This window comes from Homo sapiens, chromosome 9 (assembly GCF_000001405.40).
Source record: "Homo sapiens chromosome 9, GRCh38.p14 Primary Assembly".
Lineage (NCBI taxonomy): Eukaryota > Metazoa > Chordata > Mammalia > Primates > Hominidae > Homo > Homo sapiens.
The window spans coordinates 4,464,582-4,479,741 of record NC_000009.12 but is presented as its reverse complement, the minus strand read 5'-3'; the positions used below and the strand labels follow the sequence as shown (position 1 = coordinate 4,479,741).

Genomic DNA, 15,160 nt, shown 5'->3' with positions numbered 1-15,160 from the left:
TGCCTCCCAGGTTGCCCCTTCCTAACCTGGGGTGCAGCCACAACCACACCAACACCAACACAGCAAGGCAGTGTGGCCAGGTGGAGAGATACTCTGAGATTTCATTTCCTAACCACCCTTGGTAACTGGAGGCAGGGGTGCTGACTTGAGAGCCACAGTATGGTCATGGGCTGGGTGAGTGACCCTCCTTAGAGTCTAGGGAACCTCTGTGAACTGGCCCAATGTACAGACTTGCATATTTGTTACTAGCAGTAGCTGAAGTGAGGTGTAGGCCTTGAAGTGAGGTGTAGGTAAATGCCCTGAGCCCTAATTGAGCCAAAAGACAGGAAAGAATACATCTTCACAGCTGTAGATTTTATCCACAAAGGCCCACAGGGAATGTTGCAAGCAGGGACATGAAGGACAATGCTCTGGACACCAGGATCTAAATAAGTCCACACATGACATTTGGTTAAGTTGTAAAGTATCTTTTATTCTACAATCTCTCTTATTTATTTGTTAAAGGGACTAGGTTGAGGCCTGGTGCAGTGGCTCATGCCTATAATCCCAGCACTCTAGGAGGCTGAGGCAGGTGGACTGCTCAAGCCCAGTAGTTTGACACCAGTCTAGACAAAATGGTGAAATCCTGTCTCTACAAAAAATAATAAAAAATTCTGCAGGAACATTGAAAAATATATATATTTAAAAAAATAAAGGTACTTGGTCGTTTGTCTTACAAAATTCCCCACATTCTGGATTTGGCTAATTCCTTCTTCATAGTGGAAATTAATTTTTTCTCTATCCCCAATATTTCCTATAAGTTGGTAGTTAGATGTAGAGGTTTGCTATTTCATAATGCTAAGATTGAACAGTGGATTCTGATGTCAGCCTGATTCAACTACGATAAATTCACCATCAACCCTTCACATATGGTTTTAGCATCTATTGGTGATGGTGAAGACCTTTAAAAAATTCATTCTAATTCTAACATTTCTTCTGCATATATTTTCTGGAATCAACTATTTGGTTACCCTAAATAGATTTTATACAGAAAAGGCAGGATAAATGCTTAATTTCTTTCCCTTGGTTGGTTTTCTCAATAATGAATTAGTGCACTTGCAACTTCCAAAGGTGACTACTGATGTTTTTTTTTTTTTAGATGGAATCTCTGTCGCCCAGGCTGGAATGCAGTGGCACACTCTAAGCTCACTGCAGCCTCCACCTCCTGGGTTCAAGCGATTTCCGTGCCTCAGCCTCCGGAGTAGCTGGGATTATAGGCGCCCGCCACCAGGCCGAACTAATTTTTGTATTTTTAGTAGAGAGGGGGTTTCACCATGTTGGCCAGACTGGTTTCAAACTCCTGACCTCAAGTGATCTCCCGCCTTGGCCTCCCAAATTGCTGGGATTACATACAGGTCTGAGCCACTGCGCCGGGGCTTTTTATTTTTAAAGTATTAGTACAAACACATGGATTTATATGTGTTTTGGATAGATTTATGTGTTCCAATCAGTTACAATCATGATCCTTTCCCACGCTCAAATCATCCCATCTTTGGCCAATGGGAGCCCCTTCATTCTGGCATCCGTGTTTTTTAAACAACCACTTGTTTCAATAGTGTCTTTGTTTTCTGACTCAGCAAGATGTCCCAAGACCATCTTGTATATTTTTTGCCCTGAAACTGGAATCAGTTATTTCTCTAAAGCGTTCAGGTTCCGGTTCATGGGAAATAGTATTCAGGAGCTACAGTCTTGGTAATCGTGGCTCATTGCTATGTTGTTTCTGGGCCTTTTCAGTGGACAAGGCTTAGAAATATGTATTTCATAGCAAGAGACAAATGATAAGTTCATATTATTGTTTCCAATTTCATTTTTTATTATGGTATAATATACATAATGAATTTTACCATTTTAATTTTACCATGTTTTTAAGTGTACAGTTTGGTGGCATTAAGTACATTCATATTACTCTGCAGCCGTCACCACTATCCATCTCCAGAACATTTTTACCTTCCCAGACTGAAACTCTGAACCCATTAAACACTAACCTCTAGCCAGGAGTGGTGGCTCATGCCTGTAATCCCAGCACTTTGGGAGGCCCAGGCGGGAGGATCGCTTGAGCTCAGGAGTTCAAAACCAGCTTGGGCAACATAGGGAGACCTTATCTCTACAAAAAATACAAAAATTAGCTGGGTGTGGTGTGCACATCTGCAGTCCCAGCTACTCCAGAGACCGAGGGGGGAGGATCACTTGAGCCTGGGAGGTTGAGGCTGCAGTGAGCCGTGATCACGCCATTGCATTACAACCTGGGTGACAAAGAGAGACCCCTATCTCAAAAAAAAACCCAGCCCCCCCAAAACACACTAATGTCCTATTCCCCACCTCCCACCCCCACCCCACTCTAACTCCCAGCAAACACCATCCTACTTCTGTATCTATGAATATTTGTTCTTTTGTGAGTGGCTAATTTCAATTTGCATCATGTCGTTTAGGTTCACACATGTTGAAACTCGTGTCAGAATTTCCTTCCTTTGTAAGGCTAAGATTGCATTGTATGTATTTACCACATTTTTGTTTATCCATCCATTGGTGGATGGACACTTGGGTTGCTTCCGCCTTTTGGTTATTGTGAATAATAATGCTGTGAATATGGACGTACAAGTATTTGTTTGAGTCCCTGCTTTAAATTATTTTGGGCATATACCCAGAAGCATAATTACTGGAACATATAGTAATTCTATATTTAATTTTTTGAGGAACTGCCGTACTGTTTTCCATAGCAGGTGTACCATCTTACATCCCACCAGCAATGAACAAGGGTTCCAGTCTCTCCACATCCTCACCAATATTTGTTATTATATTTTCTAGTTTTTAAAATTCTGTCTAAAAACAGCTATTCTAACAGAGATGAATCAATTCAAATTTAAGCTTTTAGGATTGTGGCTACACTTTAGAAATTTTTATTCTTATTTCTTTTCTCTTTTCCTTGAAAATCTTGGTTCTTAAAAACATTAATTCAAGTACTTATTTCCTAATACTATAATGTACACATAATAGTTAAAAAAAAAACAAGACCCATATTATTTCTAATAATAAGACCACTGGGCCGGGCATGGTGGCTCACGCCTGTAATCCCAGCAATTAGGGAGGCTGAGGTGAGTGGATCACCTGAGGTCAGGAGTTCGAGACCAGCCTGGCTAACATGGTGAAACCCCATCCTTACTAAAAATGCAAAAATTACCTGGGCATGGTGGCAGGCACCTGTAATCCCGGCTACTTGGGAGGCTGAGGCAGGAGGATCGCTTGAACCCAGGAGGCGGAGGTTGCAGTGAGCTGAGATCCTGCCATTGCACTCCAGCCTGGGTGACAAGAGGGAAACTCTGTCTCAAAACAAAAACAAAAACAAAAAAACCCCACTGAATTCAGTTTAAGATTTCTCTGTGGTTCTCATGGTCCCCAGAGATACACCAGTAAAGATATATAATCAAATTACTATATTTAAAAGATACTGTAAAGAATTATTTTCCCTGTGTTATTCCATCAATTTGATATACAGCTATGATTATATTCATTGTATGAATATGATTTTGTTCATCAGTGGATTACATTCATCCCTTTGTTTTCAAATGTCAGAAACTGGTTTTTAAGAATTTCATAATTTTTAAATTATTTAAAACATTTACATAGTTCACTCAAAACTATAAAACAATATAATCAGGCCAGGCATGTTGGCTCACATCTGTAATTCCAGCAATTTGGGAGGCTGAGGAGAGAGTATCACTTGAGCCCGGGAGTTTGAGACCAGCCTGGTTAACATAGCAAGACCCCATCTGTATTTCAAAAAAATAAAACAGACAAACAAGAAACTGGCACAATCAGAGAATTCTCACATTAATATCCAACGACTCTCTTCTTCTACTACCCTCTCTCCCACTGTAGGTAGCGACTAATTATCTATTAGTGTTTGGTTTATTCTTCAGTTGCCTCTTTTTAGAAAATATAAACACACAGTTATATTCATATTCCCCTCCCTTGTACACAAAATGGCAGCTTACAAGCCCTGTTCTGTGCCTCCTTTTTTCATTGAAGAATATATTCTTGTGCTTACTCAATATCATAATACTGAAATCTTCCTCATTCTTTTTCTACTTAATATTTCTCTGTGTAGGTTTATTATAAAGAAATCTTCCTGATTCCTTTGCACTGCTGCAGAATACTACACTGTGTGGGTGTATCCATAGTTTATTTAACAAGTTCACAAGTGATAGAAATCTGGTTTGTTTCCAGTATTTTGCTGTTACAAATAATACCACAAAGAATAGCATAGACCTCACTCAAGAATGCTCTGGTAAACGTTTGCCAACAAGCTCTCTGGAAAAATTAAATGAAATGAAAAACAACCCTGATTGAGCACCTTTTCATAATATTTAATGGGCATTTGGATAGCTCCTCTTCTGTGAAGCATCTGTTCAGCCTCTTCTTACTTTACTATAAGGTTGTCCATCTTATTCTTTCCTCTATGTGAGCCCTTTTCTGGACATATGTATTTCAAATACCCTTTCTCATTATTCACTGTCTTAGTGATTTCTTCTGAATTTGAAAATTTTGGCCAGGTGCGGTGGCTCACGCCTGTAATCCCAGCTACTCAGGAGGCTGAGGAAGGGGAATCACCTGAACCCAGGAGGCAGAGTTTGCAGTGAGCCGAGATCATGCCACTGCACTCTAGCCTGGTCGACAGAGCAAGACTACGTCTCAAAAAAAAAAAAAAAAGAAAAAAAAATTAACATAGTCCAATTTATGAAAAGTTTCCTTTAAGTTTGGAGCAGAGTTCTGTTTAAGAAATATTTGCAAGCCTGGGCGACATAGGGAGCCCCCGTCTCTGTAAAAACTTTTTTAAAAAAATCAGCTGGGTGTGGTGGCAGGTGCATGTAGTCCCAGCTACTCCAGAGGCTGATGTGGGAGGATCACTTGAGACTGGGAGGTTGAGGCTGCAGTGAGCCATGTTCATGCCACTGCACTCCAGCCTGGGTGACAGAACAAGACGCCATCTCAAAAAAAAAAAAAAAAATTGCTTTGGACTTCACATTAAAAGTAAAAAAAGAAAAAATAAAAAAAATAAATATTTGCTTACTCCAAAGGTATGAAGATATTATATGTTTTGTTCTAGAAGCTTTATTATTTTGCTTCTTTCATTTCAATCTAAAATCTATCTGGGATTCATTATTTTGTGTGATATGGATGAAGATTCATTTTTTTCCCTATGGATATCCAATTAATCCAGGAGCATTTATTGAAAAGATCATCCTGTCTCCTCTGCATTGCAACATGACTTTGGCATATGTATATGTGTGCGTCTGTTTCTGAACTTTCTATTTGTGTGTCTGCGTCTAGGGTTTTTGTTGTTGTTTTGTTTGTTTGTTTTTGTAGAGATGGGGTTTCACCATATTGCCCAGGCTAGTCTTGAACTTCTGAGCTCAAGCAATCTGCCCACCTTGAACTTTCTATTTTGTTTTACTGATCTATTTGTCTATCTTTCCACTAATTCTCTCTGCCTTGATTATTGTAGCTTTATATGTAGCTTTGGTATTTGATATTGTAAATCCTGGAACATTTTTTAAAGATTGTCTTGCTTATTAATCATCCTTTGAATTTCCATATAAAATTTAGATAGCTTACAGATGTACACAGAAAAACACTTTCTGAAATTTTGTTTGGGAGTGACTTGAATTTTTAGATAGCTTTAGGGGGGAACTGACATCTTTACAATATACCAGGTTCATGAATTTTGAGCCTTCTAATACATGAAGCTGGTCTATTTTTGCATTTATTTAGGTCTTTTTTAGTTTTTTTAAATAATATTTTGCAGTTTTCTACATACAGGTCTTGTGCATCTTCATTAGGTTTTTCTCTCAGTATCTAAGGTGTTTTGATATGATTGTAAATAGCATCTTTAAAAATTTTTATTTATTTATTTTTATTTAACTTTTAAGTTTAGGGGTGCATGTGCAGGTTGGTTATGTAGGTAAACTCATGTCACAGGGGTTTGTTGTACAGATTATTTTGTCACCCTGGTATTAAGCTTAGTTACTTTTCCTGATCCTCTCCCTCCTCCCACCCTCCACTCTCTGATAAGCCCCAGTGTGTGCTGTTCCCTTCTATGTGTCCATGTGTTCTCATCATTTAGCTCCCACTTGTAAGTGAGAACATGTGGTATTTGGTTTTCTGTTCCTGCAGTAGTTTGCTAAGGATAGTGGCCTCCAGCTCCATCTATGTTCCTGCAAAGGAGTACATGATCCTTTTTTTTTGTTGTTGTTGTTGTTGAGATGGAGTCTCGCCCTGTCGCCCAGGCTGGAGTGCAATGGCATGATCTTGGCTCACTGCAACCTCTGCCTCCCAGGTTCAAACGATTCTCCTGCCTCAGCCTCCTGAGTAGCTGGGATTCCAGGCGCCCACCATCATGCTCAGCTACTTTTTGTATTTTTAGTAGAGACAAGGTTTCACCATGATGGTCAGGCTGATCTCATTCTTTCTATGGCTGCGTAGTATTCCATTCCATGGTGTATATGTATCACATTATCTTTATTCAGTCTATCATTGATGGCCATTTAGGTTGATTCCATGTCTTGGCTATTGTGAATAGTGCTGCAATAACTGGCAAGGTTGCAGAGAAAAAGAAATGCGTATACACTGTTGGTGGAGTGTAAATTAGTTCAACCATTGTGGAAAGCAGTGTGGTGATTCCTGAAAGATCTAAAAACAGAACTACCGTTAGACTCAGCAATCCCATTACTGGATATATACCCAAAGGAATGTAAACAGTATTTTTTAAAAATGTTTTTCAATTGTTTGTTAATGATATCTAGAAATATAGTTGATTTTTACAATAATTATCTTCAGATCTGCAATCTTGCTAAGTTCATTTAATATCAATAATTATATATAATTTCTGATTTTATATATATATAAAACGTGTTATCTGTAAATGACGACAATTTTAGTTCTTTTTTAAATTATGCTTTAAGTTCTAGGGTACATGTGCACAACGTGCAGGTTTGTTACATAGGTGTACATGTGCCATGTTGGTGTGCTGCACCCATTAACTCGTCATTTACATTAGGTATATCTCCTAATGCTATCCCTCCCCCCTCCCCACACCCCATGACAGGCCCCCGTGTATGATGTTCCCCACCCTGTGTCCAAGTGTTCTCATTGTTCAGTTCCCACTTATGAGTGAGAATATGCAGTGTTTGTTTTTCTGTCCTTGTGATAGTTTGCTCAGAATGATGGTTTCCAGCTTCATCCATGTCCCTACAAAGGACGTGAATTCATCCTTTTTTATGGCTGCATAGTATTCCATGATGTATATGTGCCACATTTTCTTAATTCAGTCTATCATTGATGGACATTTGGATTGGTTCCAAGTCTTTGCTATTGTGAATAGTGCCACAATAAACATATGTGTGCATGTGTCTTTATAGTAGCATGATTTATAATCCTTTGGGTATGTACCCAGTAATGGGATGGCTGGGTCAAATGGTATTTCTAGTTCTAGATCCTTGAGGAATCGCCACACTGTCTTCCACAATGGATGAACTAGTTTACAGTCCCACCAACCGTGTAAAAGCATTCCTATTTCTCCACATCCTCTCCAGTACCTGTTGTTTCCTGACTTTTTAATGACTGCCATTCTAACTGGTGTGAGATGGTATCTCCTTGTGGTTTTGATTTGCATTTCTCTGATGACCAGTGATGATGAGCATTTTTTCATGTGTTTGTTGGCTGCATAAATGTCTTCTTTTGAAAAGTGTCTGTTCACATCCTTTGCCCACTTTTTGATGGGGTTGTTTGTTTTTTTCTTGTAGATCTGTGTAAGTTATTTGTAGATTCTGGATATTAGCCCTCTGTCAGACGGGTAGATTGCAAAAATTTTCTCCCACTCTGTAGGTTGCCTGTTCACTCTGATGGTAGTTTCTTTTGCTGTGCAGAAGCTCTTTAGTTTAATTAGATCCCATTTGTCAATTTTGGCTTTTGTTGCCATTGCTTTTGGTGTTTTAGTCATGAAGTCCTTGCCCATGCCGATGGCTTGAATGGTATTGCCTGGGTTTTCTTCTAGGGTTTTTATGGTTTTAGATCTAACTTAAAAGTCTTTAATCCATCTTGAATTAATTTTTGTATAGGGTGTAAGGAAGGGATCCAATTTCAGCTTTCTATATACGGCTAGCCAGTTTTCCCAGCACCATTTATTAAATAGGGAATCCTTTCCCCATTTCTTGTTTTTGTCAGGTTTGTCAAATATCAGATGATTGTAGATGTGTGGTATTATTTCTGAGGGCTCTGTTCTGTTCCATTGGTCTATATCTCTCTTTTGGTACCAGTACCATGCTGTTTTGGTTACTGTAGCCTGGCAGTATAGTTTGAATTTACATAACGTGATGCCTCCAGCTTTGTTCTTTTGGCTTAGGATTGTCTTGGCAATGCGGGCTCTTTTTTGGTTCCATATGAACTTTAAAGTAGTTTTTTCCAATTCTGTGAAGAAAGTCATTGGTAGCTTGATGGGGATGGCATTGAATCTATAAATGACTTTGGGTAGTATGGCCATTTTCACAATATTGATTCTTCCTATCCATGAGCATGGAACGTTCTTCCATTTGTTTGTGTCCTCTTTTATTTCGTTGAGCAGTGGTTTGTAGTTCTCCTTGAAGAGGTCCTTCACATCCCTTGTAAGTTGGATTCCTAGGTATTTTATTCTCTTTGAAGCAATTGTGAATGGGAGTTCACTCATGATTTGGCTCTCTGTTTGTCTGTTATTGGTGTATAAGAATGCTTGTGATTTTTGCACATTGATTTTTGTATCCTGAGACTTTGCTGAAGTTGCTTATCAGCTTAAGGAGATTTTGGGCTGAGACAATGGGGTTTTCTAGATATACAATCATGTCATCTGCAAACAGGGACAATTTGACTTCCTCTTTTCCTAATTGAATACCCTTTATTTCCTTCTCCTGCCTTATTGCCCTGGCCAGAACTTCCAACACTATGTTGAATAGGAGTGGTGAGAGAGGGCATCCCTGTCTTGTGCCAGTTTTCAAAGGGAATGCTTCCAGTTTTTGCCCATTCAGTATGATATTGGCTGTGGGTTTGTCATAGATAGCTCTTATTATTTTGAGATACGTCCCATCAATACCTAGTTTATTGAGAGTTTTTAGCATGAAGATTGTTGAATTTTGTCAAAGGCCTTTTCTGCATCTATTGAGATAATCATGTGGCTTTTGTCTTTGGTTCTGTTAATATGCTGGATTACATTTATTGATTTGCATATGTTGAACTAGCCTTGCATCCTAGGGATGAAGCCAACTTGATCGTGGTGGATAAGCTTTTTGATGTGCTGCTGGATTTGGTTTGCCAGTATTTTATTGAGGATTTTTGCCTCGATATTCATCGGGGATATTGGCCTAAAATTATCTTTCTTTTTTTTGTCTCTGCCAGGGTTTGCAATCAGGATGATGCTGGCCTCATAAAATGAGTTAGGGAGGATTCCCTCTTTTTCTATTGATTGGAATAGTTTCAGAAGTAATGGTACCAGCTCCTCTTTGTACCTCTGGTAGAATTCGGCTGTGAATCCGTCTGGTCCTGGACTGTTTTTGGTTGGTGGGTTATTAATTATTGCCTCAATTTCAGAGCCTGTTATTGGTCTATTCAGAGATTTAACTTCTTTCTGTTTTAGTCTTGGCAGGGTGTATGTGTCCAGGAATTTATCCATTTCTTCTAGATTTTCTGTTCTCTGATGGTAGTTTGTGTTTCTGTGGGATCAGTGGTGATATCCCCTTTATCATTTTCTATAGCCTCTATTTGATTTTTCTCTCTTTTCTTTGTTAGTCTTGCTAGTGGTCTATCAATTTTGTTGATCTTCTCAAAAAAACAGCTCCTAGATTCATTGATTTTTTGAAGGGATTTTGTGTCTCTATCTCCTTCAATTCTGCTCTGATCTTAGTTATTTCTTGCTTTCTGCTAGCTTTTGAATGTGTTTGGTCTTGCCTCTCTAGTTCTTTTAATTGTGATGTTAGGTTGTCGATTTTAGATCTTTCCTGCTTTCTCTTGTGGGCATTTAGTGCTATAAATTTCCCTCTAACACTGCTTTAAATGTGTCTCAGAGATTCTGGTATGTTGTGTCTTTGTTATGTTTGGTTTCAAAGAACATCTTTATTTCTGCCTTCATTTCGTTTTGTACCCAGTAGTCATTCAGTAGCATGTTGTTCAGTTTCCATGTAGTTGAGCGGTTTTGAGTGAGTTTCTCAATCCTTAGTTCTAGTTTGATTGCACTGTGGTCTGAGAGACAGTTTGTTATAATTTCTGTTCTTTTACATTTGCTGAGGAGTGCTTTACTTCCAACTATGTGGTCAGTTTTGGAATAGGTATTGTGTGGTGCTCAAAAGAATGTATATTCTGTTGATTTGGGGTGGAGGGTTCTGTAGATGTCTATTAGGTCTGCTTGGTGCAGAGCTGAGTTCAATTCCTGGATATCCTTGTTAACTTTCTGTCTCATTGATCTGTCTAATGTTGACAGTGGGGTGTTAAAGTCTCCCATTATTATTGTGTAGGAGTCTAAGTCTCTTTCTAGGTCTCTAAGGACTTGCTTAATGAATCTGGGTGCTCCCATATTGGGTGCATATATATTTAGGATAGTTAGCTCTTCTTGTTGAATTGATCCCTTTACCATTATGTAATGGCCTTTTTTGTCTCTTTTGATCTTTGTTGGTTTAGAGTCTATTTTATCAGAGACTAGGATTGCAAATCCTGCGTTTTTTGCTTTCCATTTGCTTGGTAGATCTTCCTCCATCCCTTTATTTTGAGCCTATATGTGTCTCTGCAGGTGAGATGAGTCTCCTGAATACAGCACACTGATGGGTCTTGACTCTTTATCCAATTTGCCAGTCTGTGTCTTTTAATTGGAGCATTTAGCCCATTTACATTTAAGGTTAATATTGTTATGTGTGAATTTGATCCTGTCATTATGATGTTAGCTGGTTATTTTGCTCATTATTTGATGCAGTTTCTTCCTAGCATTAGTGGTCTTTACAAATTGGCATGTTTTTTGCAGTGGCTGGTACCAGTTGTTCCTTTCCACGTTTAGTGCTTCCTTCAGGAGCTCTTGTAAGGCAGGCCTGGTGGTGACAGAATCTCTCAGCATTTGCTTTTCTGTAAAGTATTTTATTTCTCCTTCACTTACGAAGTTTAGTTTGGCTGGATATGAAATTCTGGGTTGAAAATTCTTTTCTTTAAGAATGTTGAATATTGGCCCCCACTCTCTTCTGGCTTGTAGAGTTTCTGCCAAGAGATCTGCTGTTAGTCTGATGGACTTCCCTTTTTGGGTAACCCAACCTTACTCTCTGGCTGCCCTTAACATTTTTTCCTTCATTTTAACCTTGGTGAATCTGACAATTATGTGTCTTGGAGTTGCTCTTCTCAAGGAGTATCTTTGTGGCATTCTCTGTATTTCCTGAATTTGAAAGTTGGTCAGCCTTGCTAGGTTGGGGAAATTCTCCTGGATAATATCCTGCAGAGTGTTTTCCAACTTGGTTCCACTCTGCCCGTCACTTTCAGGTACACCAATCAGATATTTGGTCTTTTCACATAGTCCCATATTTCTTGGAGGCTTTGTTCATTTCTTTTTTCCCTTTTTTCTCTAAACTTCTCTTCTCACTTCATTTCATTAATTTGATCTTCAATCACTGATAACCTTTCTTCCACTTGATTGAATCGACTACTGAACCTTGTGCCTGTGTCACGTAGTTCTCATGCCATGAATTTCAGCTCCATCAGGTCATTTAAGGTCTTCTCTATGCTGTTTATTCTAGTTAGCCATTCGTCTAATCTTTTTTCAAGGTTTTTAGCTTCTTTGTGATGGGTTTGATCATCCTCCTTTAGCTCGGAGAAGTTTGTTATTACCGATCATCGGAAACCTTCTTCTCTCAACTCGTCAGAGTCGTTCTCCATCCAGCTTTGTTCCATTGATGGCGAGGAGCTGTCTTCCTTTGGGGGTGAAGAGGCCCTCTGATTTTTAGAATTTTCAGCTTTTCTGTTTTGGTTTCTCCCCATCTTTGTGGTTTTATCTACCTTTGTTCTTTGATGATGGTGATGTACAGATGGGGTTTTGGTGTGGATGTCCTTTCTGTTTGTTAGTTTTCCTTCTAACAGTCAGGTCCCTCAGCTGCAGATCCTTTGGAGTTTGCTGGAGGTCCACTGCAGACGCTGTTTGCCTGGGTATCACCAGCGGAGGCTGCGGAACAGCAAATATTGCAGAATGGCAAATGTTGTTGCCTGATCTTTCCTCTAGAAGCTTCATCTCCGAGGGTCCTGTGGCCATATGAGGTATCAGTGGCCACCTACTGGGAGGTGTCTCCTAGTTATACTACTCGGGCTCAGGGACCCACTTGAGGAGGCAGTCTGTCCGTTCTCAGATCTCAAACTCCATGCTGGGAGAACCACCACTCTCTTCAAAGCTGTCAGACAGGGACGTTTAAGTCTGTAGAAGTTTTTGCTACCTTTTGTTCAGCTATTCCCTGCCCCCAGAGGTGGAGTCTACAGAGGCAGGCAGGCCTCCTTGAGCTGTGGTGGGCTCCACCCATTTTGAGCTTCCTGTCCACTTTGTTTACCTGCTCAAGCGTCAGCAATGGCAGATGCCCCTCCCCCAGCCTCGCTGCCACCTTGCAGTTCAATCTCAAACTGCTGTGCTAGCAGTGAGTGAGGCACCGTGGGCATGGGACCCGCCGAGCCAGGTGCGGGATATAATCTTCTGGTGTGCCATTTGCTAAGACTGTTGGAAAAACGCAGTATTAGGATGGGAGTGTTCCAATTTTCCAGGTACCATCTGTCACGGCTTCCCTTGGCTAGGAAGGGGAATACCCCGACCCCCTTGCACTTCCTGGATGAGGCGATGCCCTGCACTGCTTCAGCTCACACTCCGTGGGCTGCACCCACTGTCTGACAAGCCCTAGTGAGATGAACCCTGTACCTCAGTTGGAAATGCAGAAATCACCCATCTTCTGCGTCGCTCACGCTGGGAGCTGTATTCTGGAGCTGTTCCTATTCAGCCATCTTGGAACCTCCACCTAGTTCTCTCTATTAATTGGGTTTTGCCTGATACACCAACCTGCATTTCCAGTATAAATCCCATTGGTTATGATGTATTATCCTTTATATATATTGTTAGATTAAATTTGCTAACATTTAAAAAAATTTTATATCTATGTTATGAGGGCTAATGTTCTGTTATCCTACTTTCTTGTGATGCCTTTGTCTCGTTTTGGATTAAGGGTAATACTGGCCTCATAAAATGATTTGATGTTTCTTCCTTCTCTATTTTCTGAAAAAGTGTGTGTAGGATTATAACCTTAAAATATTGGGTAGAATTCATCAGTGAAGCCATCTGGGCCTGGAGTTTCTTTGTGGAAAGCTGTCAACTATGAATTTAATTTCTTTTATTGGTATTGGGCAGTTCGAGTTTTCTATTTCTTCTCAGGTCAATTTCAGTAATTTGTGTCTTACAATGAATTGTCTATTTCATCTAAGTTGTCAAATTTATTGGCATAAAGTTGTTCATTATATACCCTTGTATCTTTAAGGTCCTTTAGATCTGCACTGATGCCTTTTCTTTCACTTTTGGTATTGGTAATTTGTGTCTTCTCTTCATATTTTTCTGAATCAGTATGGTAGAAGTTTGTGAATTTTACCATTTCCTCTATCAAAGAACCAGCTCTTGGATTCGTTGATTTTCTGTATTGTTTTTCTGTTTTGTGGGCCACATTTTTAAAGTAGTCTCATCTCTGTGATCTTTTACTCTCAAATCTTGGCAATTTTCTATCAACTTCAAATGCACTTAATGCTTTCAAATAGATTTTTAAATTATGTTTTCTGGCTTTTCAAGTTGTTCTTAGCAGGAGCACTAATCTACCACATGTTACTTAGTTAGAGCCAGAGGCAGAAATCCAAGAGGTATAATTTTTTTTGAAAATTTTTTTGAATTTAAAAAATTTTTGTAGATGCATAGTAGGTGTATATATTTGTGGAATACATAAGATGTTTTGATACAGGCATGCAATATGAAATAAGCACATCATGGGGAATGGGGTATCCATCCCCTCAAGCATTTATCCTTGGATTTACAAATAAATCCAGTTACAAGAATTATTATTTATTATCTTTTCTTTTTTATATTTTTTTGAGTCGGAGTCTCACTCTGTCGCCCAGGCCGGAGTGCAATGGCATGATCTTGGCTCACTACAGCCTCTGTCTTCCGGGTTCAAGAGATTCTTGTGCCTCCGCCTCCCTAGTAGCTGGGACTACAGTTGCGTGTCACCATGCATGGCTAATTTTTTGTATTTTTAATAGAGATGTGGTTTCACCACGTTGGCCAGGCTGGTCTCGAACTCCCGACCTCTGGTGATCCCCTTGCCTCGGCCTCCCAAAGTGCCGGGATTACAGGCATAAGCCACCGTGCCCGGCCTATTATCGTTATTTAGACTAAGAATGTATGCAATGTTATATGTAAATTTCCTCCATTCTTACAGGATTATCCTTTCTCTGGTCATGAACTGAAAAATGTGCTGAAACATCTGTAACTGATGGGCAGTCCCCAAGGACTATTTTGTAAGAGGAAGAGAGAGGGAAATGTTGATTCTGGTAATGCTGTAGGTTAAGTATGCAAATATAAAGCAGAGTTTCTGAAGAAATGTGTCACTGAAGTTTGTTATTGCTAACCCCTTGGCCACATCCATTTATAGCTTGTGCAAATATGTCTGCTTAGAGGAATACACTATACTAGCTACCAGTGACAGGTTTGTGTTTTATCTTAATACCATTTTGGGGGGTTTCTTCTCATATTCACATGTGTCTTTCCATCAGGTTTAAACTCAAATGTGAAGTCTCTTCAGATCAGCATTTCCTGGCTTCAATATTCTGCATACAACCTTTACAATTTTTTTCTTCTTCTATATACCACTTATATTATTTGCCTAAGATTTTCTTTGAACTTATTTTCTTTTTATTCAATTAATGCCTTTTCAAAGAAAATATCAGGCCAGGCATGGTGGCTCATGCCTGTAATCACAGCACTTTGGGAGGCCAAAGGAGGTGGATCACTTGAGGTCAGGAGTTCAAAACCAGCCTGGCCAACATGGTGAAATCCCGC

General features: G+C 39.6%; 1 protein-coding gene across 1 annotated transcript in view, besides 3 other annotated features; it reads left to right on the top strand.

Annotated features, from left to right (window-relative positions):
* The window catches only part of GLIS3 (GLIS family zinc finger 3), a 666,339-nt gene that overhangs the window by 10,724 nt on the left and 640,455 nt on the right, over positions 1 to 15,160 (top strand). The window lies entirely within an intron of this gene.
* Positions 13,644 to 13,713: an enhancer, noted in NCBI's record as "active region_28145". NCBI's record gives its function as "activates an Ori minimal core promoter by ATAC-STARR-seq in GM12878 lymphoblastoid cells {active_cell/tissue: GM12878}" and the evidence as "EXISTENCE:reporter gene assay evidence [ECO:0000049][PMID:35858748]".
* Positions 14,499 to 14,548: an enhancer, noted in NCBI's record as "active region_28144". NCBI's record gives its function as "activates an Ori minimal core promoter by ATAC-STARR-seq in GM12878 lymphoblastoid cells {active_cell/tissue: GM12878}" and the evidence as "EXISTENCE:reporter gene assay evidence [ECO:0000049][PMID:35858748]".
* Positions 14,559 to 14,608: an enhancer, noted in NCBI's record as "active region_28143". NCBI's record gives its function as "activates an Ori minimal core promoter by ATAC-STARR-seq in GM12878 lymphoblastoid cells {active_cell/tissue: GM12878}" and the evidence as "EXISTENCE:reporter gene assay evidence [ECO:0000049][PMID:35858748]".